This window comes from Homo sapiens, chromosome 4, assembly GCF_000001405.40.
Source record: "Homo sapiens chromosome 4, GRCh38.p14 Primary Assembly".
NCBI lineage: Eukaryota > Metazoa > Chordata > Mammalia > Primates > Hominidae > Homo > Homo sapiens.
Genome location: NC_000004.12, coordinates 131,446,909 through 131,473,795, shown reverse-complemented (window position 1 = coordinate 131,473,795; position 26,887 = coordinate 131,446,909). Strand labels below are relative to the sequence as shown.

Sequence of the window (26,887 nt, the reverse complement as noted above, 5' to 3'; positions counted from 1 at the left end):
TGTTCTCACTCATAAGTGGAGTTGAACAATGAGGATACATGGACAGAGAAGGGAACATCACACACTGGGGCCTATCAGGGAGTTGGGGGCAGGAGGAGGGACAGCATTAGGAGAAATATCTAATGTAGATGATGGGTTGATGGGTACAGCAAACCACCATGGCACATGTTTACCTATGTAACAAACCTGCACGTTCTGCCATGTATCCCAGAACTTAAAGTATTATAATAATAAAAAAGAAGAATGTTTTATCTAAGCACGTTAATACAACACCTAATGTGATCTCAGGAAGATAAGTGTTAATTCTCAATAAATATATATTTAATAGTTGACAAATTATTTACAATGATTAAACTTCAGTTGAGAAAAAATGGGCTTTGGAATAATTTGTTAAGAGCAGCTTTTACAAAAAAGTTGGAAATTTGCCTCCTTGGGAAGCTCCAATCCTTGGAAATGCAATCTTGAAAATATAATATAAAACATAAATATACTTCACTAAGTCTGGTCATATTTGCTACTAAAATTAGAGAGAACAATGTAATTTTTGTCTATCCTAGGCAACTTATGTCACAAGATTATATTTTTCTTTTCTTATAACTTGAAATTATCACTTTTGGTGGGTTTATCTTCTTTCTGAAATCAGAGATTTAGAGTGTGAGATAGATTATACTGCCGGTCTTGATGAAATTAAGTTGCCATGCTGTGAAAGCACCAAGTAGGTAGGACTCAAGGGTTAGCACTAGAAGCCAATTTTGATCCCTGGGCCAAAAGCTAGTAGGAAAGTAGAGATTTTAGTCCTACAATTGTAAGAAACTGAATTCTGTCAACAACCACATGTTCTAGGGATAGGGCCCAAGCCTTAAATGGGAACAAGCCCTGGCCAAGAGTTAGATTTCAGGCTTGTGAGACCCTAAGCACAATGCGTGCTAATTTTGTGCCCAGAATTCAAACTCAGAGAATGGGGAGATCATAACTACGTATGCTTTTAAGCTACTAATTTTGTGATATTGTGTTCTGAAGCTTTCTATAAGAAAATAATAGATAAATAATAATTTATATTGTGAGGACCACATTTGGTTACGGTATTATAATGTACCATTCTTCTTTACTATCACAGAAAAAGTAGTAACATTGGAAAAATATTTATAACCATTCCTCCTTGCCAGCCTTAATATTTGTCATTCTATTTTGGGTTGAATTGTGTCCCACCAAAATTGATATGTTGATGTTCTAATCCCCGATACTTCAGAGTGTGACTATATTTAAAGATAGGGCCTTTAAAAAGGTAATTTAGTGGAAATGAGGTCATTAAGGTGGGCCCCAATGTTGTTATAGTAAGAGAACATTTGGACATGAACATCTGCAGAGGAAAGATGATATGAAGACATGGAGAGAAGAAAGCCATCTATAAGCCAAGAAGAGAGGTCTCAGAGGAAACGAAAGTTGATGACAACATGAGTTTGGACTTCTAGTCTCAAGAACCATGAAGAAAATAAATTATATGTTCGTTATTGTTGTTGTTTTGTTTGTTTTTAGCCACCAGTTGTTCTTTGCTAGAGCACCTCTAGCGAACTTACGCAGATCCCATACAGTACATAGTTTAACTACATCAAACTTGACACTACCCTTCTGCATTTGGCCTTTTATATGTCAAAATTTCAAGTCATATTCTACCTTTACTGTGATACTTTACAGTTATTTAAAATAAGCTATTTAAAAAATGAACACACAGAAGCAGAGAACAGAACTGTGGCTACAGGAGGCTAGAGAGTGGAGGAATAGGGAGACTGGTCAAAGGGTGCAGTGTTTCAGTTAGACAGGAGGAAGAAAAGGGCCAGTATTTGAAAATATATACTTTTAAAGAAACCAAAAAGATTCACTAAAAATAAAAAAAACTGTTAGTAATCTATAACATAAGGAGATTTTACTATATATTAATTTTTATTACTTAAATAAAGTATTGGATAGATTGAGTAGAAATTTCTACTGCTGTCAAATTGTAATTTTAAGCCATGTTTACATATCAGAAAACACCAAATTATTCCTTTCAATCATGCATTAAATTTAGAAGCATACTATATAGATACTGGATAATGTACTATATTGGAGACGACTAAATAATTAGACATTTTTTTTTTCTCTGAGGTAGCTTAAAACTAAGTTAGTCAGAATATAATAAAATTCATCATTTTCTTTGTATAGTACCTAAGCACTTTGCCTTTATCCTTAACTCATTTTCCCCAATTATTGTGAAATTGAGGAAGCAATTACAAGATGAGCATAAATAATTATGCTACTCAGTGGCCCAGCAAACTTCCAGACAGACCTGTAGCCTTCTGAGTTATGAAGAGTGAACTATACCAGTGTTGGGTTAGACAGCCACACAGAAAAATGAGCAGATTTCTGAATTGAGAGCTGAGAGCTACATATTTTATAATAATATCATTTTATAAATTAAATTATAAATAAATTAAATTAAGTTATTTTAATTAGAGTTTGTAAAAAATGATCAAGATGACCTGGACTAAAATAAATTCAATAAAGAACTAAACCAATATCCTAATTTGCACATTCCAGGGAGATAATTCTTATTTTGTACAATTGATGATGAGTTTGGATCATTAAAAATATTCTGGCAGATTTTTCAAAAGGTGATTTAATACCTGTCTTTGTCTTTTTCTACTGCTCGAATAAAATACCTAAGAATGGGTTGTTTATAAAGGAAGACATTTATTTCTCATAGCTGTGGAGGCTGAGAAGTTCAAGATCAAGGTGCTGGTAGGCTTGATGTTTGATGAGGGCCTTGTTTTCTCTTTCCAATGTGATGTCTCGTTGCATCCTCCTGAGGAGTCAAATACTGTTTTCTCACATATCAGAAAGTAGAAGTGCAAAAAGGGCCTAACATGGTTCCCTTCAGCTCTTTTATAAGACAATAACCTCATTCATGATGACTGAACCCTCATGACTTAATCACTTCCCCAAATGCTTCATCTCTTAATACTGCCACAGTGGAGATAAAGCATCTACATGAATTTTGGAAGGAGTACATTTTAAACTATAGCAGTTCCATTCTTTTAATATTCAACTGAGATTTTTATATTCTGTCTTCTTAAATAATGCACTTAAATTTTATGTTGAAATTCATGTTCAAAAAAAAAGATACAGCCTAATGATCTGTATAAAGACTTAGGAAAAGGTGGTAGTCATAGAACCTTTGTTTAGAATTTGCTGACTCATGCTTAATTAAGATCTCAGCCATTATAGTCCATCAATGTTGTTTCTTGGATATAATTGTGCCTATAATGATTTAGCAGTATTTAATTATTACCTACTCATAAGACCTATATACCTGCTATTTTTTAAGCAATAATTATGAGGTGAATTGGTGTTAATCCAGAATTTTTAAATCTGCATGTATAAATACAATGAAGGCCAGATACTCAACCAAATACACAAGCATAATTTTTTATAACAAAACATTATCTAAAAAGGTTTTTTTGCTATCAATAATATTATCAGAAATAAGCCATTAAATGTGAAATGTACCAAAATTACCTTACGAAAATATGATTGTAACCTTCTGTATTTAAAAAATAAAAGATTTGAAAAAGATGAAATTTAAGAAATTGACTATTTAAGATCTTAAAATATTCCAAGCAGGTGCACATACACACACACGTTTATGTAAAATGTATAATGCCACTCTTGCTTAAATGGAGCAAGATTCTATGATTATGGATCAGTCCATTTTCATCCTGCTGATAAATAAATACCCCAGGCTGGGAAGAAAAGAGGTTTAATTGAACTTACAGTTCCACAAGACTAGGGAGGCCTCAGAATCATGGAAGGAGGCAAAAGGCACTACTTACATGGTGGTAGCAAGAGAAAATGAGAAAGTAAAAGTGGAAACCCCTGATAAACCTATCAGATCTTGTGAGACTTATTCACTATCACGAGAAAAGCATGGGAAATAATGCCCCCCATGATTCAATTAGCTCCCCCTGAGTCCCTTCCACAACACATGGGAATTCTGGGAGATATAATTTAAGTTGAGATTTGGGTGGGGACACAGCCAAATCATATCATACAGCCCCTGGCCCCTCCAGATCTCATGTTCTCACATTTCAAAACCAATCATGCCTTCCCAACAGTCCCCCAAAGTCTTAACTCACTTCAGCATTAAATGACTTTCAGCAGAAGTCCACAGTCCAAATTCTCATCTGAGACAAGGAAAGTCCCTTCTGCCTATGAGCCTGTAAAATCAAAAGCAAGCTAGTTACTTCCTAGATAAAATGAGGGTACAGATAATTGGATAAATACAGCCATTCCAAATGGGAGAAATTGGCCAAAATGAAGGGGTTATAGGGCCGATACAAGTCCAAAATCCAGCAAGGCAGTCAAATATTAAAGCTCCAAAATAATGTCCTTTGACTCCAGGTCTCACATTCAGGTCACGCTAATGCAAGAGGTGGGTTCCCATGGTCTTGGGCAGCTCAGCCCCTCTGGCTTTGCAGGGTATAGCATCCCTCCCAGCTGATTTCATGGGCTGGTGTTGAGTGTCAGCGGCTTTTCCAGGCTCACGGTGCAAGCTGTCGGTGGACCCCATTCTGGGGTCTGGATGACAGCGGTCCTTTTCTCACACCTCTGCTAGGCAGTGCCCCAGTAGGGACTCTGTGTGGGGGCTCTGACTCCACATTTCCCTTCTGCACTGCTCTAACAAAGATTCTCCATAAGGGCCCAGCCCCTGCAGGAAACTTCCGCCTGGGCATCCAGGCATTTCCATGCATCTTCTGAAATCTAGGTAGAGGTTCCCAAATGTCAATTCTTGACTTTTGTGCACCTGCAGGCTCAAGACTACATGGAATCTGCCAAGGCTTGAGGCTTCCACCCTCTGATGCCACAGTCCGAACTGTACATTGGCTTCTTTCAGCCACAGCTGAAGCAGCTTGGACACAGGGCACTAAGTCCCTAGGCTGCACACAGCACAGGGGCCCTGGGCCTGGCCCATGAAACCGTATTTTCCTTCTGGGCCTCCGGGCCTGTGATGGGAGGGGCTGCTGTGAAGGTCTCTGACATGGCCTGGAGACATTTTCTCTTTGGTCTTGAGAATTAACGTTAGGCTTCTTGCTACTTGTGCAAACTTCTGCATCTGGCTTACATTTATCCCCAGAAAAACGGGTTTTTCTTTTCTATCACATAACCATCCTGCAAATTTTCCAAACTTTTATGCTTTGCTTCCTTTATAAAACTGAATGCCTTTAACAGTACCCAAGGTACCTCTTGAATGTTTGCTGCTTAGAAATTTCTTTTGCCAGATACCCTAAATCAATTCTCTCAAGTTTAAAGTTTCACAAATCTCTAGGGCGGGGGCAAAATGCTACCAGTCTCTTTGCTAAACCATAACAAGAATCACCTTTGCTCCACTTCCCAGTAAGTTTCTCATCTCCATTTGAGACCAGCTCAGCTTGGATTTTATTGTTCGTATTGGTATCAGCATTTTGGGCAAAGCCATTAAAGAAGTCTCTAGGAAGTTCCAAACTTTCCCACATTTTCCTGTCTTCTTCTGAGCCCTCCAAACTCTTCCAACATCTGCCTGTTTTCCAGTTCCAAAGTTGCTTCCACATTTTTGAGTATCTTTTCAGCAACATCCCACCCTCAGTACCAATTTACTGTATTAGTCCGTTTTCATGCTGCTGATAAAGATATAACTGAGGCTGGGAAGAAAAAGAGGTTTAATTGGACTTAACAGTTCCATGTGGCGGGGGAGAATCATGGAGGGAGGCAAAAGGCACTTATTACATGGTGGCAGCAAAAGAAAACGAGGAAGAAACAAAAGTGGAAACCCCTGAGAAACTCATCAGATCTCATGAAACTTATTCACTATCACGAGAATAGCATGGAAAAGACCAGCCCTCATAATTCAATTACCTCCCCCTGGGTCCCTCTCACAACACATGGGAATTCTGGGAGATACAATTCAAGTTAAGATTTGGGTCGGAACACAGCCAAACCATACCAGATTATAAGTTAAATGGATGGAAAGATGACATTTCAATGTTTAAATATAGTCACAGGAACAGTAAACATGTAACTCACCACATTTAACAGAATGGCCATTTTAGGAGTTTATTTATCATTCTCTACATTGTTACAATAATTTATTCCTCAAAAATTTATATTGTATATCCAATGAAATTAAATAATAATAGTGAAAAATTACAACCACATATTTTAGAAATTTAATAGATGTATATTATCTTTCAAAAACATATTTAAAAAAGCCTATTCTTACAGTATAAAACAGCATGTATCTTGAAGAGAGAATGTTGCTTATTTTGGCACTTGTCAAAATATTTCTTCTTCTCAACGAGTATAACTTAATATCTCACCAAAACCAAGTATAATCTGTTATACTATTGTGCAATAAAATGATGAAAAATACTTACCTTCAAAAAATTTTTCAAAGAAGATAATTATAGTGTTGAGAGAGGACTATGCAATTTCAAACCATAACTATTAAGATACTATAAAGATGCCAATTTCTGTGCCTTCTAGGCTTAGATCATGTGCTAAAGATTATTTTATTTTTTAACATAATCTATAGATGGAAGTCAGTTGGTGTTGATACTGAAGGGTTCACATTCTGTCATCACCGAAGGCTTATCTGAGCTCTGTAAGACCCAGTTTCACCTGATGACAATCACAAATGTTACATGATTCATTGACCATAGTATGGTTTAAAGAGAAGTTGTGAAATGATTATTTATTAGGTATGTATGTAGCAGGTAAAAAATACAAAACACAATAGCTTGGTCATAAATTATTTCTTTTGATACTTATGACATCCAGAGGCACAGAGAGGACATTGCATTTTGAAGAAAAACAAGGTTTTCAAAGTCTAGTTTTTCTTCTGACTTAACATTCTCTAGCCACTATTTCTTATAATTTCTTAAATTTAAATATGTTGTGTAGGGTTTAAGGTATGGTTGAAGACTTAAAGACAAAGTGTAAGCTTAGTTTTCTTACATTACATTAGTTACATTTAAAGATATGTAGTAGAGTGAACTTAATTAAAATATAAAAGTAATTTACTTTTTATTATTTAAAAGTATGAATAATTTAAATCAACTGCGTATCCTTTGGGAGAATTTTTTTGGGGGCATGACTAGCCCACATGAGGAACGAAAATAAAGCATTTCAAAGATGGCTTTTTCAGAATTTTTACTTTGGGCAAGTTTCACAAAATTTGAGCACAAAAAAAAATTTAAAACATAGCAAAAATTTAGCACTTAGATATAAGATCGTTTGGATTATATATACATACAATTAAATATAATGCCTCTCTCACAGCATCTTTATTTCCTTTAACTTAAAAATATTACTTCTTAATAATTAGTTATATTTTTAATTATCTTCCCCATAAAGACCACAGATTTAAAAATAATAAATACATTTGTCTTGTTCATACTTTAATATCTGAACTTCAGCAGAATGTCTAGTTTAGAATATAAATTAATACATATTACTTGACTAGCAAAACACTGTTTTAAAACCATCTCCTAAAGAAAATCAGTTAATTTTTGAAGAATATATAGAAGGATATATCCATTACTTTTAAATACATATAATTAATAAAAGGGCTGTTATGAAAATTATGTTACTTGAAACATATCAACAAAGTGGGGCATTTATAAATGATCAGATACTTAGCCTTAATTTAACTAACAAAGTGAAAGATGTGTACTTTGAAAACTACAAAATATTGATGAAGGAAATTAAGTGAGGCACACAACAATGGAAGGACATTTAATATTTATGGATTGGAAGATTCAATATTGTTAAGATGTCCATACTAAACAAAGAGACCTAAACTTTTAATGGAATCCCTATTGAAATCTCAATAACCTTTCTTATAAGAACAGAAAAAAACAATTCTAAAATTCATAAGGAACCACAAAAAAACTCAATAGCCAAATCGATTTTGAAAAAAAAGACTAAAGGTGGAGACATTGCACTTCTTGATTGACAATAAAAAGCATCACAAAAGTACAGTAGTTAGAACAGTATGGTACTAGAACAAAGACAGAACTACAGACCAATGGAACAGAATAGAGAGCTCAGAAATAAATTCACACGTAGATATTCAATTGATCTTCAATGTATTAGTCAGGGTTCTCTAGAGACACAGAATTAATGAAATATATATAAAATTATATATATTTTTATATAATTATATATATTTACATATAATTATATATAATTGGATATTAATATATTAATAAATATATAATTAGATATAATTTTATGTATTTCATATATATGTATTTCATATATAATAAAACATATTATATATATAAATATATATATATATAAAGGGGAGTTTATTAAGTATTAACTCACACCATCACAAGGTCCCACAATATGCTGTCTGTAGTCTGAGGAGCAAGGAGAACCAGTCCCAGTTACAAAACTCACAAATCTGGAGTCTGATGTTAGAGGGCAGGAAGCATCCGGCATGGGAGAAAGATGTAGGCTGGGAGGCTAGGCCAGTCTCTTTTCACATTTTTCTGCCTACTTGTATTCCAGCCATGCTGACAGCTAATTAGATTGGCCCCACCCAGATTAAGGGTGGTTGTGCCTTTCCAAGCCCACTGACTCAAATGTTAATCTCCTTTGGCAACACCCTCACAGACACAAGAATCAATAATTTGTATCATTCAATCCAATCAAGTTGACACTCAGTATTAACCATCACATTCTATAAAGGTGCCACGTTACACAATAAGGAAAGGATAGTTTCTTCAACAGACGGTGTGGGGGAAATTGGATATCTATCTAGCTTTTTCCATTGTGGAAAACAGAATGAAGATTCATCAAAAATTAAAAATAAAATAAAGCTACTCAGAAGAGTGTGGTGGCTTATGCCTGTAATCACAGCACTTTGGGAGGCCAAGGGGGTGGATCACTTGAGGTTAGAAGTTCAAGACCAACCTGGCCAACATGGTGAAACCCCATCTCTACTAAACATACAAAAAAAATCCGGGCATGGTGGGGAGTGCCTCTGGTCCCAGCTACTCAGGAGGCTGAGGTGGGAGAACTGCTGGAATCCGGGAGGCGGAGGTTGCAGTAAGCTGAGATTGTGCCATTGCACTCCAGCTGGGTGACAGAGCGAGGCTTCATCTCAAAAATAAAATAAAATAAAATGAAATAAAATAATGTAATAAAAATTAAAAAAATAAAGCTACCATACCCACTTTTAATATTACTCCAATATAATTGAAATCCTTAAGAGATATAACAACTCCCACACTAACTGCAGCTCTATTCACAGTAGCCAACATGTGTAAACAATCTAAATATCCACCAACAGATGAATGAAGAAAATGTGGTATACATATATATAATGGAATATTATTCAGCCTTAAAAGAAGGAAATCCTACAACATGTGAACAACATAAATGAACCCAGAGGGCATTATGTTAAGTGAAATAAGCCAATCACAGAAATACATATATTGCATGATTCCACTTATATAAAATATCTAAAATATACAAAAACATAGGTGCAAAGAATAGAATAATGTTTATCAGGGACTGGGGGAGGTGAATGGGGAGTTACTAGTCAACACATACGCAATTCCAATTATGCAAGAGAAATTAGTTCTAGAGCTCTGATATACAACCTTGCACCTATAGATAACAATATTATATTTAACACTTAAAATTTGTTGAGTAAACTTTGCGTGTTCTCACTTACATGTGAAAAATGAAAGTTAAAACAACTGAACTCATGGAGACTAGATTTATGGTTACTAAATGCTGGGAATGGTAGTGGTGATGAGACATAAAGTAGGAGTGGTTAACGAGTGCAAAAATATAGTTGGAATGAATATTATCTAGTATTTGATAACACAACAGTGACTATAGTCAACAATAATTTATTATTTCAAAATAACTACAAGAGTAAAATTGGAATGTTTCTAACAAAAATAAATGATAAAGGAATACCCTATTTACCCTGATCTGATTATTACACATTGCATGCCTGTATCCAAATATTGCATGCACCCCAATAATATATACACTTATTATGTACCCATTATAATTATAAATAAAAAATTTAAAAAACGTGTTGAGTGTAGATCTCATGCTTAGTGCTCTTATAAAATAAAATTTAAAAAAATAAAAAAGAAATCATAGCAGCTAATTTCTTTCAAATATCTAGCTCACTACAAAGTAAATAACTTTCAACCTAATTTCTAAGAAATGTTTTTGTCTTAATAACATATTAAACAAAAATAAAAATCATAGTGCAGAAAATAATCATTTTAACACATTTAGCAATATCATATATATAAGATAATTTGTGTTTTAATTTAGTTTATTTTTCCATGCTATGTTTTCTGTCAAAACTGACTTTTTTCTTTATTTTGTTTTCATAATCTTTTTTCTTTTGGAGGGCAAGCAATGGTTTCATTCCTGAGTAGAGTGTCATCTATATTCTTAGGTTATTTTCACAGTTACTGACAACAGAAATGAAAGAAATGATCAAAATAGCAATTTCTTATTGAGCATGATTATGTTATATATCTATTGACTTATCTCTATAGTTGCCAAAATAGTCTTCAGATATTTATTTTATTTCATTTTGAGAACCAAATCAACATGAAAATATGCAAGAAAATTTGAAAAATAGCCTGGTATTTTTATTTTAAAACATTCATGCTCTTTACTATTGACCATAATTATACTTTTGTAGTTTGCATTTTTTGCCATTTTTAACTGTAAGTCATTTTTATTTTAACCTCGTTTTTGTTAGTTAAAATAAAATTTGTCAGCAAGTAAGTCCATTGGCATTAAAACACTTGTAGTTTAACAATTAAAAACAGAAAACCATGCATTATTCATAATAGATTCAAATATATTTGTTGAATATATTCTGCAATTATATATGTAGGAATATCTTAACAAAGATACATATTCAATTTAAAAATTACATGGTTAATGCATTTATTCATTAAAATTATGAACGTACAACATGAAAGGTGTTGGTTAAGTTGAATATGTTGAGATTTAATATCAATACTAGATTGAACAGGGAATTTTCTCCATTCATTCATTCAACATTCAGCATTCAAAAATTATTTATTGAGCACCTGTGATGTATTCCAATAGCTGAGAACACAGTAGCAAAAATGACACAGTATCACTAACATCACAATGTGTGCCTTTGTAAAGTGCTATAATTTCTATATATGATAGTATATGACACTATTACCACAGTAGAATAAAGAGGTAGCAAAGAATGGCAAAAGTAATTATTGTAGATAAGGTGGTCAAAGAAGATGTTTAAAAAAAGACCCAAAAGTAATTGATGAGTACATAGTGATAAGACAGTAAATTAAGTGAAGATCTATCTAACCGATAGAGAGCATAACAAGCACAAAGGGCTGGTTCTTTTTTAAACATTACAAAATCTGTTTAAAAGAAAATATTAATAATATTAATATTAAATAGTATGCATCTATAAGTTTTTTTACCCATATTTTGTCAAAAATTAAGGTTCTTGATCCTTTTATGTGCCACTCTGCTTCTTACACATCTTTGATTACAGGCTCTTAAAACTCCCATTTTATCTATGGCTTCTCCTCTGTAGAGTGTTCACTTACGTGTTATTCCTCTTACAGTATCTAGGGTATATTGTCAGATCACTGACTGCTAGCTGTATTCCCTAAGTCAGAAACACTTACTCAATGGAAACAGAAACGTTTTAGGTTTGTATTTGATTTTGGGGGAGAACATTTAATTTTAAGATATTAACACAGATAATAGAAGGCTATTCATATAATCTGAGGGATGGATTTTTTAATTTTTCAAGGATCTTCAAATAGTTTTGTATTTTATTACCATTATTACCATATTAATTTACTCATGAGTGATGTGCAAGCCTCTTTGTGATGTACAGGGAAATGCAAATACAAAGTCAAAGGAGACATTCTCACATTGGATATTATTACATTTCAGTGTTTAGCGTCAAATTTTCTAGGAGGAATTTTTTTTTCCCCAAATGGATTCACCATCTGATGGCATGAACTTATAAAATATCAAATAGAGCAAAGTTCCTAGTGCTCTATCATCTCACAGATCTTTCTTTCACAAATATGCAAATTTTACCGATTACCAGATTTACATCCTTCTGTTAGCTTGTAAATGAGTCCAGAGGGAAATATCTCAAAGCAATATCTTTTAGAGTTTCTCATTATTCTTTTATCAGGCATAAAAAGCTAAATTAATTAGATATGTGTTAGTGTGTATTATATTTAATGCATCATTCACTTATTCACATGTGCAGACATCCAGAAAATGTTTGCAGACTCTTGTTTTTGTCACACAATTCTACCTAAGTAGACTTAGGGACAGATCATTCAATGGCCTGCAGAATTTTTCACACTTTTACTCAACATTTTTAATGCATTAGGTGTACCAAGCTTTGTGCCAGATACTGGGATATAAAGATAAAATAAAATAGTTCACTGCTCTTTGGAAGCCACAGCATATCTATAAAGACAATACGAGAGCTAAACAATGACTACATAATAATAAGTATAATGATTATGCCTCACTCTGCATTCAACTCAGTGTGCTTTATTTACTGAGACTGCACTTTGGAATTCTAAATAAAAGGTGATTTATTTGCCAAACTTAAATCTACGACTCTCCCACTGGCCAGATGAGTCTTAATGTCCCTCCACTCTCCAAATTTTATACACACCAGAGAATATGGAATCAAATGTATAATCTAACTAGTTGAATATTGTATAATAACCCCTCTATATAATTTTTAACATTGATATATATACATACATATATGTATATGAAGAAGTGGGGAAGCATTAAATAAATGTCTAAGTGTTGGCAGTCTAAATTCTTTGGAGGGGGCCGATTTTGACTCATCCTTCTGAAAACATCCTTCTGAAAATTTTAGAAAATAAAGAGGATCTTTTTGCTTCACATTTTGATAGAGCATATTACATGTAAAAAGAATGGAATCAAATGCAATATTTATATGAGGGGGTTTAAATTTTATTTTTTTCACTAGTAAATGTATTGCCTGTCTTAGAGAAAGAAGTTGAGACTATCAGAACAAAAGGGATTTATCTTCTTAGTATTAGTTGTAACACAGATTGCAGGTGCAATCAATAGGAAAACTAAAGGTGTGAGTCAGGGATGTTTTTTGACCACTACCAGAAAGTGCTCACTTAATTAACCTGCTTACTAAGGTGGTAAAAAGGGGTCGAGTATACTCTAAGCAAGGGAAAATGAAAGGAGATTTTTAAGTAGAACACCATCCTTATTAAGCTAAAAAAAAATTCACAGGTAAGGATATGGGGAAAGAAAATCTTAAAGTAACAAGGGGCAGCTGATACCGATACTGTTTCTTGAGTCCTGTATTCTCTGTGAGTTTTCTTACTATTTGTGGCTTCTGCTATTACCGATCTTGTCCCTGAGGATTATATTTCACACTACAACAGTAGGGTTGTGTAGTTGTGACAGAGACCATATGTACTGCCCACAAAGCAGAAAATATTTGCCATCTGGCTCCTTATAGAAAAAGTTTGCTGACTCTGGTACTAAGTGTGCCATGGAAAGCCTTGCAAATGAAATGATTATTGAATTTGTCTTGAAAGTAAGATGCTACATTTACACGTTCATAGAGATGCAGGGAAGACAAGCCCCAAAACTGAAGCTTAGCCCCAGAGACCTCTTGGCTTCACTCAGGAAGAAATTCAAGGGCAAGCCTGTGGTGTCAGCAACTTTTACTGAAGCAGCAATGAACATCATCATCAGTAGCAGCAGCAGTAGCAGAGGTACTGCCCCTTGTGGAACAGGGCTACCCCAGTGGCAGTGTGCCCAGAGTAGCAGTGTATGGGCTGTTGGCAGTGGTATTTATACCCTCTTTTAAGTATATGCTAATTAAGAGCTGGGTTATTCAGAAATTTCTGGAAAAGGGGCAGGGAGTTTCCAGAACCATATAAGGTAACTTCTGGGCCATTATCATGACCTGTTGCTATGTCATTTGTAAATTTTCATGGCACCAGTAGGAGTGTCTTCGTGCTAAAAAGCAGCGAGGAAAACCAGAGATCGCTTTTCTCTGTCACCATGGGCTGGTTTCAGCAGGCTTCTTCACTGCACACTGTTTCAACCACATCCTGCTCTGATCAGCAGTGTGGAGACTGGGGTCATCACCAGTGCTTGGAAAACAAGCCCTGCTGATCTACTACCTCAATAGTATGTTGATATCTTAGAAATTCTATAGCCTTTGAACTTACAGGAGATAGTCAGCAAGCCACAGTAATAGATGCTCACCTTTTCATGAAATTGTATTCAAAGTGGATTTTTATCACTACTTTAAAACACAGAGAATTTTCAACAGAATCACAATGACAGTATTTAGATATCAAGTTACACGTTTTTCAAAAGAAAAATATTTCACTATTTTAATAAGCACAGTTATGAACTGTATTTTAAAATTAATAATAAGATCCAAATAGTTGTATATTATATTATATATACTTCCTTTGTGGGATTAATGCCTAATTAACCTGATCAACATGTATATATGAAAAAACAGAGTGACACTAATTTTATTCTAATAAATTATTTTAAAATTTAAAAGATTAATTTAAAATTTATTTTGAAAAGTAGAAAGTGAGAAATTGTATTAACATATAACTCTTCATTTTCCTACAACTATTTAGGTGGAGAAATTATAATTTCACCCATAATATGTATTTTAACAGATAAAAAAGCTTGTTGTCACTGAGCAGTTAATTTGAAAATATTTTTTAGTTTTCTAAATGTAGTTGTTACCTGCTCTTTGAACTTCTATCTAACTACTATAATCTTAGAAAAACCACAAATTTCAAACAAATGAGGTAAGTAGTCAGCCTTTGTTCTGGGTCTATACTTTTTTCTCAGATGATTAAAAGTAATCATCTTCTTCCTCTTTGCTAAATCACATCACTCACTGAAATCTTTTTCTAATCATAAATGTCAGATCCACTCTGAAGCATTATCAGATTATAGTACCACTGTATAATTCAATAACTCCTTTAGACATTACAGTATTATTGTTTATATGTCTTATGCAAAAATAATGGGTAGCGAGAGAAGACAAAATGACAGATGGACAGATGCATGGATGACTGAATAGGTAGATAAGTTATTAAGGATAAACAGATAATAGTAACTAGAGAGAGAGATAGATAGATAGATAGATAGATAGATAGATAGATAGATAGATAAATAAAAAGAGCCACTTAACAACCTAATTGGAAGTTACATGTGGACAAAGGATTATACCCTAAACTAGCATTAAATTCAATTATATTTTAGATCTTTTTAAAAAATAAGTAACACAATTATCTCAAAAGACTCCAGGTAAAAAAGATGGCTCTTTTTTTTTGAGACATGACGGTTCTTATAATCATTAAAAATAGTATGTGTAACCTTGCTCTTATTCACAGTTTTACACTCTTTGAAATGCTTGTCTCTTATTTATGCCTTGAAGAACTTCTAGTTCCCAATGCCCACATTAAAAGCATGAAACTTTTGAAGTTCCTCAGTCATGCATTTTCCTCTCTCTCTTTTTCTGTGTATTGTCCCCTCTACCCCACTACTTGTCATTAGCTACCTTTCACTATCTTTTGTATATATAGTATCTCTTTTCCTTATCAGAGCACATGCCATCCTGCTTACATTGTTTCCTCTACATAACACAGTGCAAAACTGAAACAGTCAATAAACGTCTACTGGATTAAAGAGACAACAAAGTTTAAGGAAGTAAATACACTTTTCTTCATAAGGGGAAGAAAATAGAATATCCCATGTGTTTTGTTGTGGTTTGCAATAGGACCACTTGTTCTGGGTTAGTTTTCATAAACATTTGTTGTCTTCACCACAAAATGTCTACTTTTCTACGTGGCATGCTGCAAGAACCATGACAACTTTCAATTGATCATAGATACTGTTAAATTAATCTTAAAGAAAAGTAAGTTCGTTAGTCTTGGTGTGCATAAAGTTGATGGGATATTTTGTAAAAGATTGGCTAGAGAGATTTTAGAGATGACAAAAAATGGGAGAAAAAAGCTGCTTACCCAAATTCTTTATTTCCCTATATGTTATGTGTTTTTTTTTTCCTGTTTCATGCCCACTGGACAAAACATTCTGACAGTAGTTCATCCCTATCACTGACAGATATTTAGGAGACTTCCACTTTATTCTGGATAAAAGTCATAACATATTTTAGACAAAATGCAAAGAAAACTGATAACATTTAAGAAGGAATGAAAATTATTTCATGAAAGGAGAAAAGTAGGAAGAAAGAAATAAGGGAGCAGTTTGAGAGAGAAGGAAAATTCTTTTATTATTATTATTATTATTATTAAGTTCTAGGGTATATGTGCACAATGTTCAAGTTTGTTACATAGGTATACATGTGCCTTGCTGGTTTGCTGCATCCATTAACTTGTCATTTACATTAGGTATTTCTCCTAATGCTAACCTTTCCCCTGCCCCCGACTCCATGACAGGCCCCTGTGTGTGACGTTCCCTGCCCTGTGTCCAAGTGTTCTCACTGTTCAACTCTCACCTATGAGTGAGAATATGTGGTGTTTGGTTTTCTGTCCTTGTGATAGTTTGCTCAGAATGATAGTCTCCAGCTTGATCCATGTCCCTGCAAAGGACATGAACTCATCTGTTTTTATGGCTGCATAGTATTCCATGGTGTATACGTGTTACATTTTCTTAATCCAGTCTATCATTGATGGATATGTGGGTTGGTTCCAAGTCATTGCTATTGTGAATAGTGCTGCAATAAACATATGTGTGCATGTGTCTTTATAGTAGCATGATTTATAATCCTTTGAGTATATACACAGTAATGGGATCACTGCAAATGGTATTTCTAGTTCTAGATCCTTGAGAAATCGCCACACTGTCTTCCACAATGATGGAACTAGTTTACACTCCCACCAACAGTGTAAAAGCATTCCTATTTCTCCACATCCTCTCCAGCATCTGTTGTTTCCTGACTTTTTAATGATTGCCATTCTAACTAGTGTGAGATGGTATCTCATTGTGGTTTTGATTTGCATTTCTCTGATGACCAGTGATGATGAGCATTTTTTCATGTGTCTGTCGGCTGAATAAATGTCTTCTTTTGAGAAATGTCTGTTCATATCCTTTGCCCACTTTTGGTGGGTTTTTTCTTGTAAATTTGTTTAAGTTTTTTGTAGATTCTGGATATTAGCTCTTTGTCAGATGGATTCACAGCCAAATTCTACCAGAAGTACAAAGAGGAGCTGCTACCATTCCTTTTGAAACTATTCCAATCAACAGAAAAAGAGGGAATCCTCCCTAACTCATTTTATGAGGCCAGCATCATCCTGATACCAAAGCCTGGCAGAGACACAACAAAAAAGGAGAATTGTATACCAACATCCCTGATGAACATCGATGCAAAAATCCTCAATAAAATGTTGGCAAACCAAATCCAGCAGCACATCAAAAAGCTTATCCACCATGATCAAGTTGGCTTCATCCCTGGAATGCAAGGCTGGTTCAACATACACAAATCAATATATGTAATCTATCACATAAACAGAACCAATGACAAAAACCATATGATTATCTCAATAGATGCAGAAAAGGCCTTTGACAAAATTCAACAGCCCTTCATGCTAAAAACTCTCAATAAACTAGGTATTGATGGAACGTATCTCAAAATAACAAGTACTATCTGTGACAAACCCACAGCCAATATCATACTGAATGGGCAAAAACTGGAAGCATTCCCTTTGAAAACAGGCACAAGACAGGGATGCCCTCTCTCACCACTCCTATTCAACACAGTGTTGGAAGTTCTGGCCAGGGCAATCAGGCAAAGGAAAGAAATTATGGGTATTCAGTTAGGAAAAGAGGAATTCAAATTGTCCCTGTTTGCAGATGACATGATTGTATATTTAGAAAACCCCATCGTCTGAGCCCCAAATCTCCTTAAGCTGATAAGCAACTTCAGCAAAGTCTCAGGGTACAAAATCAATGTGCGAAAATCACCAGCATTCCTATACATCAATAACAAACAGACAAAAATCATGAGTGAACTCCTATTCACAATTGCTTCAAAGAGAATAAAATACCTAGGAATCCAACTCACAAAGGATGTGAAGGACCTCTTCAAGGAGAACTACAAACCACTGCTCAACGAAATAAAAGAGGACTCAAACAAATGGAAGATCATTCCATGCTCATGGATAGGAAGAATCAATATCGTGAAAATGGCCATACTGCCCAAGGTAATTTATAGATTCAATGTCATCCCCATCAAGCTACCAATGACTTTCTTCACAGAATTGAAAAAAAAACTACTTTAAAGTTCATATGGAACCAAAAAAGAGCCTGCATTGCCAAGACAATCCTAAGCAAAAGAGCAAAGCTGGAGGCATCAAGCTACCTGACTTCAAAATATACTACAAGGTTACAATAACCAGAACAGCATGGCACTGGTACCAAAACAGATATATAAACCAATGGAGCAGAACAGAGGCCTCAGAAATAACGCCACACATCCATAACCATCTGATATTTGACAAACCTGACAAAAACAATAAATGGGAAAGGATTTCCTATTTAATAACTGGTGCTGGGAAAACTGGCTAGCCATATGTAGAAAGCTGAAACTGGATTCCTTCCTTACATCTTATACACAAATTAATTCAAGATGGATTAAAGACTTAAATATTAGACCTAAAACTATAAAAACACAAGAAGAAAACCTAAGCAATACAATTCAGGACAGAGGCATGGTCAAGGACTTCATGACTAAAACACCAAAAGCAATGGCAACAAAAGCCAAAATAGACAAATGGAATCTAATTAAACTAAAGACCTTCTGCACAGCAGAAGAAACTATCATCAGAGTGAACAGGCAACCTACAGAATGTGATAAAATTTTTGCAATCTACCCATCTGAAAATTCTTTATTGATTGTTTTGTCTTATGCTTCTGGGGAAAAAGTTGCCTTTATCAGATAGAAATTGAAACAAAACAAATGAAGGAGATATACAAACAGAGATAATTATTCTGCCGAAAGTTCTTGTAGTACATAAAAAACTTATAAGTGAAACAGGCAATAAATACTCTTAGAGCCAAACAAATAAATTCTGAAATACTGTATATGCATGCATATATATTTTATATAATATAATTTAGGAAATATTATATACTCATACATACATAAACATATATACTTACATAAATTTAGAAATATTATCCACGCATGCATACAAATATAGGCATATATACATATATGTCCATTTTATGAGCATATCTGAGTCAGCTCCACTTTCTAAGAATTCTTACTAAGCTTAAAATGAGCTATGTTATTTGAAATTAAATGAAATAAGTAATGTAGAGTCATTAATATGTGTGCCAAAACTTTCCATGATAATGATAATAATAATCACTGTTTTATTCGTGAATGAGATACGAAGAAAGCCCCAACATTAGCAATGTGGGCCACTGTTTTTGTTTCCTTTCCATTTAACCCTACATATATATAGTACATAATACTGAATGAAATATATTGATTTCAAAAGAGATTGATAAAGGTTTATAAAGTATTATATTCGGCATGTAAAAATGAAAACGGAACTGTACTATAAGCTGGATTCTAGATGAGAATACTAAATCTGCCATTAATCAACAGTTTTGACCTTTGCTATATTATTTATACTTAGTTTCCTCATATATTACAAAACAGGATTGAATTAAATAGTTTACAAATCCCAGTACATTTCTAAAAATTTTGGTGTCTTTACATAATCGGTATAAAGTTAAAATGTATTTATTTATGTAAGTATCACAATAGTTTATGCCTGTAATATTTTCTTATTCATGCTGGAAGAAGACTGTGTATAAAAATTTGAACTATGGTAGACTAGAAGGGAAGAAACTGCACCAATTGATTGCAAAACCAATTGCAATTTGCATGCCGCTGAGGAGAAATGCCTCAATTTTGTGCTGTCAACAATACTACTCAAGATGTTTAATAGACTATAAGGCAGTGTATCCTTGGATTTAGTATCATATTTTTTATTATACCCTAGAGCTTTCTGATAGTAGTCATTAGAAATAGATTAGAAGAAAAACACCTTACAGACAATTTCTGACATCAATAAAATATATTCTGTATACTTAACAAAACCTCTTTCATTCTTTAGAATCTCATGTTATTTTGTTTTAATTATTTATTTAAAGATTCTCAAAAGACAGCAACTTTTAAGACATGGCATGCTAAATAAAGAATTTAGGTTATTTGTGTTTGCTAATTGGCTTTACCAAAAGGAAAAGTAAACTTTCTTGTATCTTCAAGTCCAGAGGTAGTTTTAAAGTTGGAGATACGTGCCCTCCAAAGTTAGGCTCCCACTTTCTCACAGAAATTGGAAGACAAGAGCATTCTTTTTTTCATGATTACATTTCAAAAGGATGGCTCCAAGGTCCTTGAAAAAAAAACATCATCAGGTTGTCAAGCTTGTAAGAGGCTATTAAAAAGATTTACATCTCAAATTTTTAGATAAATAATTTGTAAGTTCTCTAAAATAAATATTCTAAGAAAAGGGAGTTCAGGGGCTTCAAGTTAGGAAGAAGCCTGTCTAAAGTTTAGTCAAGGTGAGGGGAACTTTAAGACCCCCTTGGTAAGTATTCGTGAGCTTTCTTACACAGTCTTAGAAACAGAATCTTACCAGTTTAATTTTCTCTAAATCTTTCCCTAAATTTTCTATGTTAATATAGCAGCTTAATAATATATTAGTTGATAGATACCTTTTAAACTTAGAATAACAAGATAAATGTGAATGGCTAAACTATTTGATGATCTACATTGACTTATTTTTTTCTGGTGGTATGATAACAAATAGCCTTTAAAGGCCTATTTTTGTTACTAAATGACTTCTTGTCATCACAAAAACAAAATAACAAAGTTTAGGGTAGTAGTTACTGAAAATGATCAAAGTGTCATAGTTTGTCAAACATCTTTTGGAAGCATCAGCTTCATTGGGATTAATTATGTTCATAAATATTACCAATACCAAGGAGTTTAAAGCCACTAATTTGTTCTGTATAAAACATCAGAATTTATCTAATGAGGGCTAGGAACTTCAGGAATGATCTTATAGTTACTAGAAAAATGATAAACAGAGTTGTACCTGTCATTCTTCTCTCTCTGATAGTGCTGTGCTTAGAATCTTTCAGGTTCACCTAAGTAACATCTTAAAATGTGCAGATGCCCTAAGGTCAAATCTCAGCACTCCTCTTGATTTATTACTAAATCATGATCATTTAAAGTAAGAGAGACAACATATCTTGTAGATTTATTACCTCAATGAAATATACATATGCAGATAGAGAAAGGACAGAAAATATTTTTAAAAGAATAACTCATTTAAGCCTCACACTGATTTAAAAGAAAACATTGTATACAGTAATAATTTTATTGTAGACTACAAAAGAACATATTCGTTTTGAAGCTATAGTCTTTGGATATCTGCTACATGAAAACCACTACATAGGCCTACTATTTGATGTCTTATGTTGGAAAGGCTCATTTTCTTGAGTGTTTGGGAGGCTGTTTTAGGGAGAGGGAAGAGTCATAATGGAAATGAGTTGGAAGTCTCTTATATGGTTAAACACATACTATTTAACCTGGGCATTCCACATCCGCATATCCACCCACCCACACTCACATGTTCAAGACAAATGAAAACATATTCATGCAAAAACCTGCACTAGAATGTTTACCATAGCTTTATACATAATTGACAAAATCTGAAAAACACTGGTAGGCAAAAATGGGAAAGTCATTTGTGCTAAATATAGATAATGGGACACTACATAGCAAAGAGAAGAAGTGAACTCTTGATAGAGGAACAATATAGAGGCATCTCCAAAGAGTTATGCTTAATGCAATGAGAAAAATATGACTACATATGTTATCTATTATACATATAGTTTCAGGTATTTGAAATTACAGGAAAAAGCAAAACCATGGTCATGAAAATTAGATTAGTGTTTGCCAAAGTCCAGGGCACGTAGAATAGGGATTCACTGCAAAGTGGCAAAAAGAAAAAGTTTGGGTGATAAATTTTCTATTTTCATTGTTGTGTTAAGAACAATATGGATCCTAAATAGAGATTTTCTTTCTCTGGCTTCAATGCCTTGGTCAATGCCTTTGTCCTTTGGCTCACAGGTTGTCTAATTTGTCATCACAGATGTTTGTGTAACATCTCTTGGCCCAAGGTATGCATACTATTTCAAGGAGGTGGGACAATGGGGACTTATCCTGCCATACGCTAGTCACCTAGAAGCTGAAAAACATGTTGAAACATTTTTTAAGGTGCCGCTAAAGAAACAAATTAATAAGAGCAGTATTCTTCATAGTTGGAGCATTGCCTTTCTACATGAGATACATATTTTAAAGCAATGCTCATTAAATAGCTGTGACCCCAATAGCTAAAACGCAAGGATTACTGGTTCTGCTTCTTAGAATTGAACAATTTTGTACAAGCCAACAACTTGGACAAATTAGGAATAATAATAACAGTATTCAAAGATGTATGCTACAGAGGCATATAATAGAGACTTAACACAATTAAAGCCTACCATATACTTCAAACAACAGTAATTCTTTAGACATTTCCAGTCACCTTCCTGTCACCATCACTTTCATTTTGTCAGTTGTTTTTCATTGATCTAGACCTTCTTTTCATCTGCTAGTCATAGTTTCTATAGGTTTAGTAAGAACTTTCTTTCTCTTGAGTGTTCTTTAAAATTTTCAAATCAATTCAATTTTTGATTAATTCATCTTTGCCTATAACACTATCTTATACTACAAAATCATTTATTTCCTAAATTATTAAACAGAGCACTGGGAAGCTGTAGGGGTGCTCCGTAAACTGGTGTTATTTTCACTTTCAGTTTTTTTTTTTTTTTTTCAGAGCATAACCATAAACACAGAGCTTGGTATCTTTTCCCTGGTTAAAATAAATCAAAACATGTAGGGACACTTTGCTAGTAAAGAGCATAGCTACCACTCAGATTTTGGTTTCTAATATTATTCTTCAATAAAAGGAGCCAGGACTCCTTGAAGAAAGTCTGGTTGTAGGACTGAAGCAAAAAATAAACAAGATAATCCTGGAACACTCACACCCACAAACGGACATTGATAGAAATATATCAAAGTGGCACAGGAACCAGCCCACTGAAGGAGTTCCTGTTGGTCAATGCTAGAATAATTTAAGCAATAAAATTAATAAAATAGTATTTGATAAGGTCCATAGTGTAAAATAAAATAAATATGTGTGATTCCATACTCATATAAATAAATGGTTGAATATATTAACCATTAGGAAATAGTAGATAAATCACTCATGCAGTAGAATTCCAAATAATCTATGTACAGTAGTCTTCCCTTATCTACGGAGGATACATTCCAAGACCTCCAGTGGATGCCTGAAACCACAGGTACTACAAAACCCAATTTGTTTTTACCAGTTGGAACACTTTTCTGTTCATCTCTTTTGCCCATAAATTAATGCCTTTTCCACCTAACTAAGTACTTATCATGCACTGTGACCACGACTTTTGCAGTTTGAGGCACAACAGCAAAACTAGCACAAATTTTCTTTTTCTCCTTCACAATTTTACAGGTAGTAATTTGTTCTTACCTTAGATCTTAACAATCTCAGCATAGGATACTTTTTCTCTCCTTATTAAGTCAAAAACATCCACCTTTTTACTTCAAGGAAGCACTTTATAGTTTCTCTATGGCATATCTAAATTGCCAACCTCACTACTCTTGGACTTGTGACCACTGTTAAATAAAATAATGGTTAATAGAACACATGCTTTACAATACCATGACAGTCAATCTGATAACCCAGGGGGCTACTAAGTGACTGCTGAGCAGGCAGCATTACAGCATGGACATGCTGGACAAAAGGATCATTCATGTCCTAGATGGGATAGAGTGGGGTGGTGCAAAATTTAATCACTGTTACTCAAAACAGGACACAATTTAAACTGTATGAGTTGTTTATTTCTGGAACTTTCCATGTAATGTTTTTGGACTATAGTTGACTACAGGTAACTGAAACTATGAAAAGTGAAACCATGGATAAGGGGGACTATTACCTTCAGGAAGGGGCAAATTACTCCCCACTATTTAAGTGTGGAATGCATATAGTGACTTCCTTCTAGAAAGGATGGAAGAAAATGAAGAGAAAATGTAGAGAAACCTGACAAACACTACCTGAGCCAGATGTCAGTATCAACAATTATACATCATGTTGATAATATATATCCTTAACATGCTGGAGGAAAATGAACCATTACCTCTGTGATTTTCCTTTCAAAAATATATAACCTCAAGTCGAATCATAAGAAAAACATCAGGCAAATTTCAACGGAGGCTTATCCTATAGAATACCTAACCAATACTCCTCAAAAGTATTCACGTTATCAAAAACCAGGAAAATCTTAGAAACTGTCTCAGCCAAGAACAGCCAAAGAGAAACATGACAACAAAATGAAATGTTGTGTCTGAATGAGATCCTGCAACAATAACAACAAACAACAAATTGTATTAGATAGAATTTAAGATAATCTGATTATATCATGTATCAATATTGGTTCATTAATTGTAACAAATATATCTGACTAATAAAAGGTATTAATAATAAGGGAAATTGAGTACAAGATAAATGGGTACCATTTACTATCTTCTAAATTCTGTGTACTAAAACTATTTCTAAAAATAAAGCCTATTGAAAAAAAATATATATACAGAGTATAGTCATTTAGTATTCTATACTTACCTTCAATACTACACATCCTTTTGTACAATTTCTCAAATTGTTATTAAATTAATATGAATAATATTTAACAATCTGCTAAGTTAGAAAATACTTGAAAATAGAATCGATATGGGATTTTAGCATATTACTGCAGTAGATTCTAACAAAAGTTTATCAAAGAACAATTTCATCCTGAAACTTCACATATACAATTTACTGAAGATTAAATACAGTTAAAACAATGGGAAAAATGCACAGAAAACAACTTATTATTTACTATTAATTATAAAAATGAAAAAGCTGGATTTGAAAGGTCTCCAGTTAAATACTTCTATTTCATTCCAATTTGCTGGAAGTGAATTACCTAACTATGAATTCTCATATATTTCATCAAAGTCATGAATGTGTCACATTATTTTTCAGATTAAGTGTAAATGTTTTCTAATTTCATAAGATGCCTCTTCTGGAAGTAGATTCCTCTTTTACTTTCTGCTGATGAGCAGAGATGACTCATGTTTGTTAAAATCTGTTTTATGCAGTTTGTCTCAATGCTAAAGTTGTTTTGTACCTACATTTTCAAGGTAGTATTGTGTCTACATACCCATGTTCCCACGTTAAATAAGCTGTATTTTAAGCAAGTCCTAATTTATGCTGAGCTAAAGAAAGAGTGAAGAAAGAAGAGCTCGTTTAATGTGTGAGCTTAACATACGATGTCAGCTCCAAAACATTTTGCATTTATTACCTCAAAAATGTATCAGCTTTGGAATATATACACACATACACACACACGTGCACGCACACACTCACACGTGCACACACAGTATAGGCATACTTCTTGCTGATCTCAATGGAATAGAAAAATAAATGATTGAAGCACAATGAATAAGAGGCCTAAGATTATTTTGAATAGACATGTATCTCATACAATATTAAGGTAAAGATAATGTAGATTTAAAAACAATTTTTGTTATTCATAAGTTTAAAAATCAGAATGTTTTTATATAGATCTTAATAGTTGCTTTATCATTCCTATCCACACCATTTGCATATAATTCAATCTATTTCCTAATGTAGAGACATACATTTTCTAATAATATTGTCTCTTTGAAAACAATGGAGCACTATAAGTGACAAAATGCTTTATATAATTATGATTATGGTGAATTTTTTAAACATCAATATTTTTGTTTTTATGAATATATTACTTTGCCAATGTTAAATACACAGCAATGCAAAATTATACTTTTTTGTCTATCAAAAGTGATACATAGAATTTCTAGTAATCTCACTTCAAGAATAATGAATTTTAGCATACACATAATTATAATTTAAATTTTATCCTCAATGATATATTAAAAATTAAAGAAAATCATCAATTTGACAGCATCAACTCAGTTTTTTGTTTCCTAATTGAAAATAGAAAAAACTGTCTTTTACTCTATGAATATTCTAATCATTTATCCAATCGTTAAAATTAATAAATGTTTCACTTTAATAGCATTTGAGGCAATTATTTTCTATTACCTCTTATATACAGCAACAATTCTAAACTTATTTTAAAAGTGCTTCTTTCAGCTTCTTTATAATTTTACCAAAATATTTGATAATTTAACTCTACATCCTCATTTTAAAAATTCTCTTAGAATTCTTGGCAGACTATTGATTATTTTATCGCAAGAATGGTTATCTGTTCATTTAGTACTATGCCTGCACATAGTGCATATTTATCAAATATGTTGCATTAATTAATCAATGAAAAATTGATTTATAAGCTGCATTACAGTTAATGAAGTTATAACTGGAAAATGTTTTTCATATTTATTAATTTTTCAAGATTTCCATTATCTTCTAGAATGCATCAAACCTAAAGATTTTCTCTATGCTTTTCCATTTCTCTTTGGTATTATTAATTACAAAAATAGTTATTTAATCCATCTTACAATTTTCTTTTTGTTAATAAATTATTTTTACATAAA

At 33.4% G+C, this 26,887-nt stretch overlaps 1 long non-coding RNA gene across 33 annotated transcripts in view, besides 1 other annotated feature; it reads right to left on the bottom strand.

Moving 5' to 3' along the window:
• Positions 1–26,887, bottom strand: part of LINC02377 (long intergenic non-protein coding RNA 2377) — a 338,568-nt gene that overhangs the window by 244,529 nt on the left and 67,152 nt on the right. For 8 of the 33 annotated variants that reach the window (NR_183920.1, NR_183927.1, NR_183934.1 and 5 more), the window contains one exon: positions 4,173–4,253. The exons of the other annotated variants lie outside the window; for them this stretch is intronic. This is a non-coding gene — a long non-coding RNA (long intergenic non-protein coding RNA 2377). The remainder of the gene's footprint in view (positions 1–4,172; positions 4,254–26,887) is intronic. 33 annotated transcript variants of the gene reach the window in all.
• Positions 14,021–14,080: an enhancer, noted in NCBI's record as "active region_21903". NCBI's record gives its function as "activates an Ori minimal core promoter by ATAC-STARR-seq in GM12878 lymphoblastoid cells {active_cell/tissue: GM12878}" and the evidence as "EXISTENCE:reporter gene assay evidence [ECO:0000049][PMID:35858748]".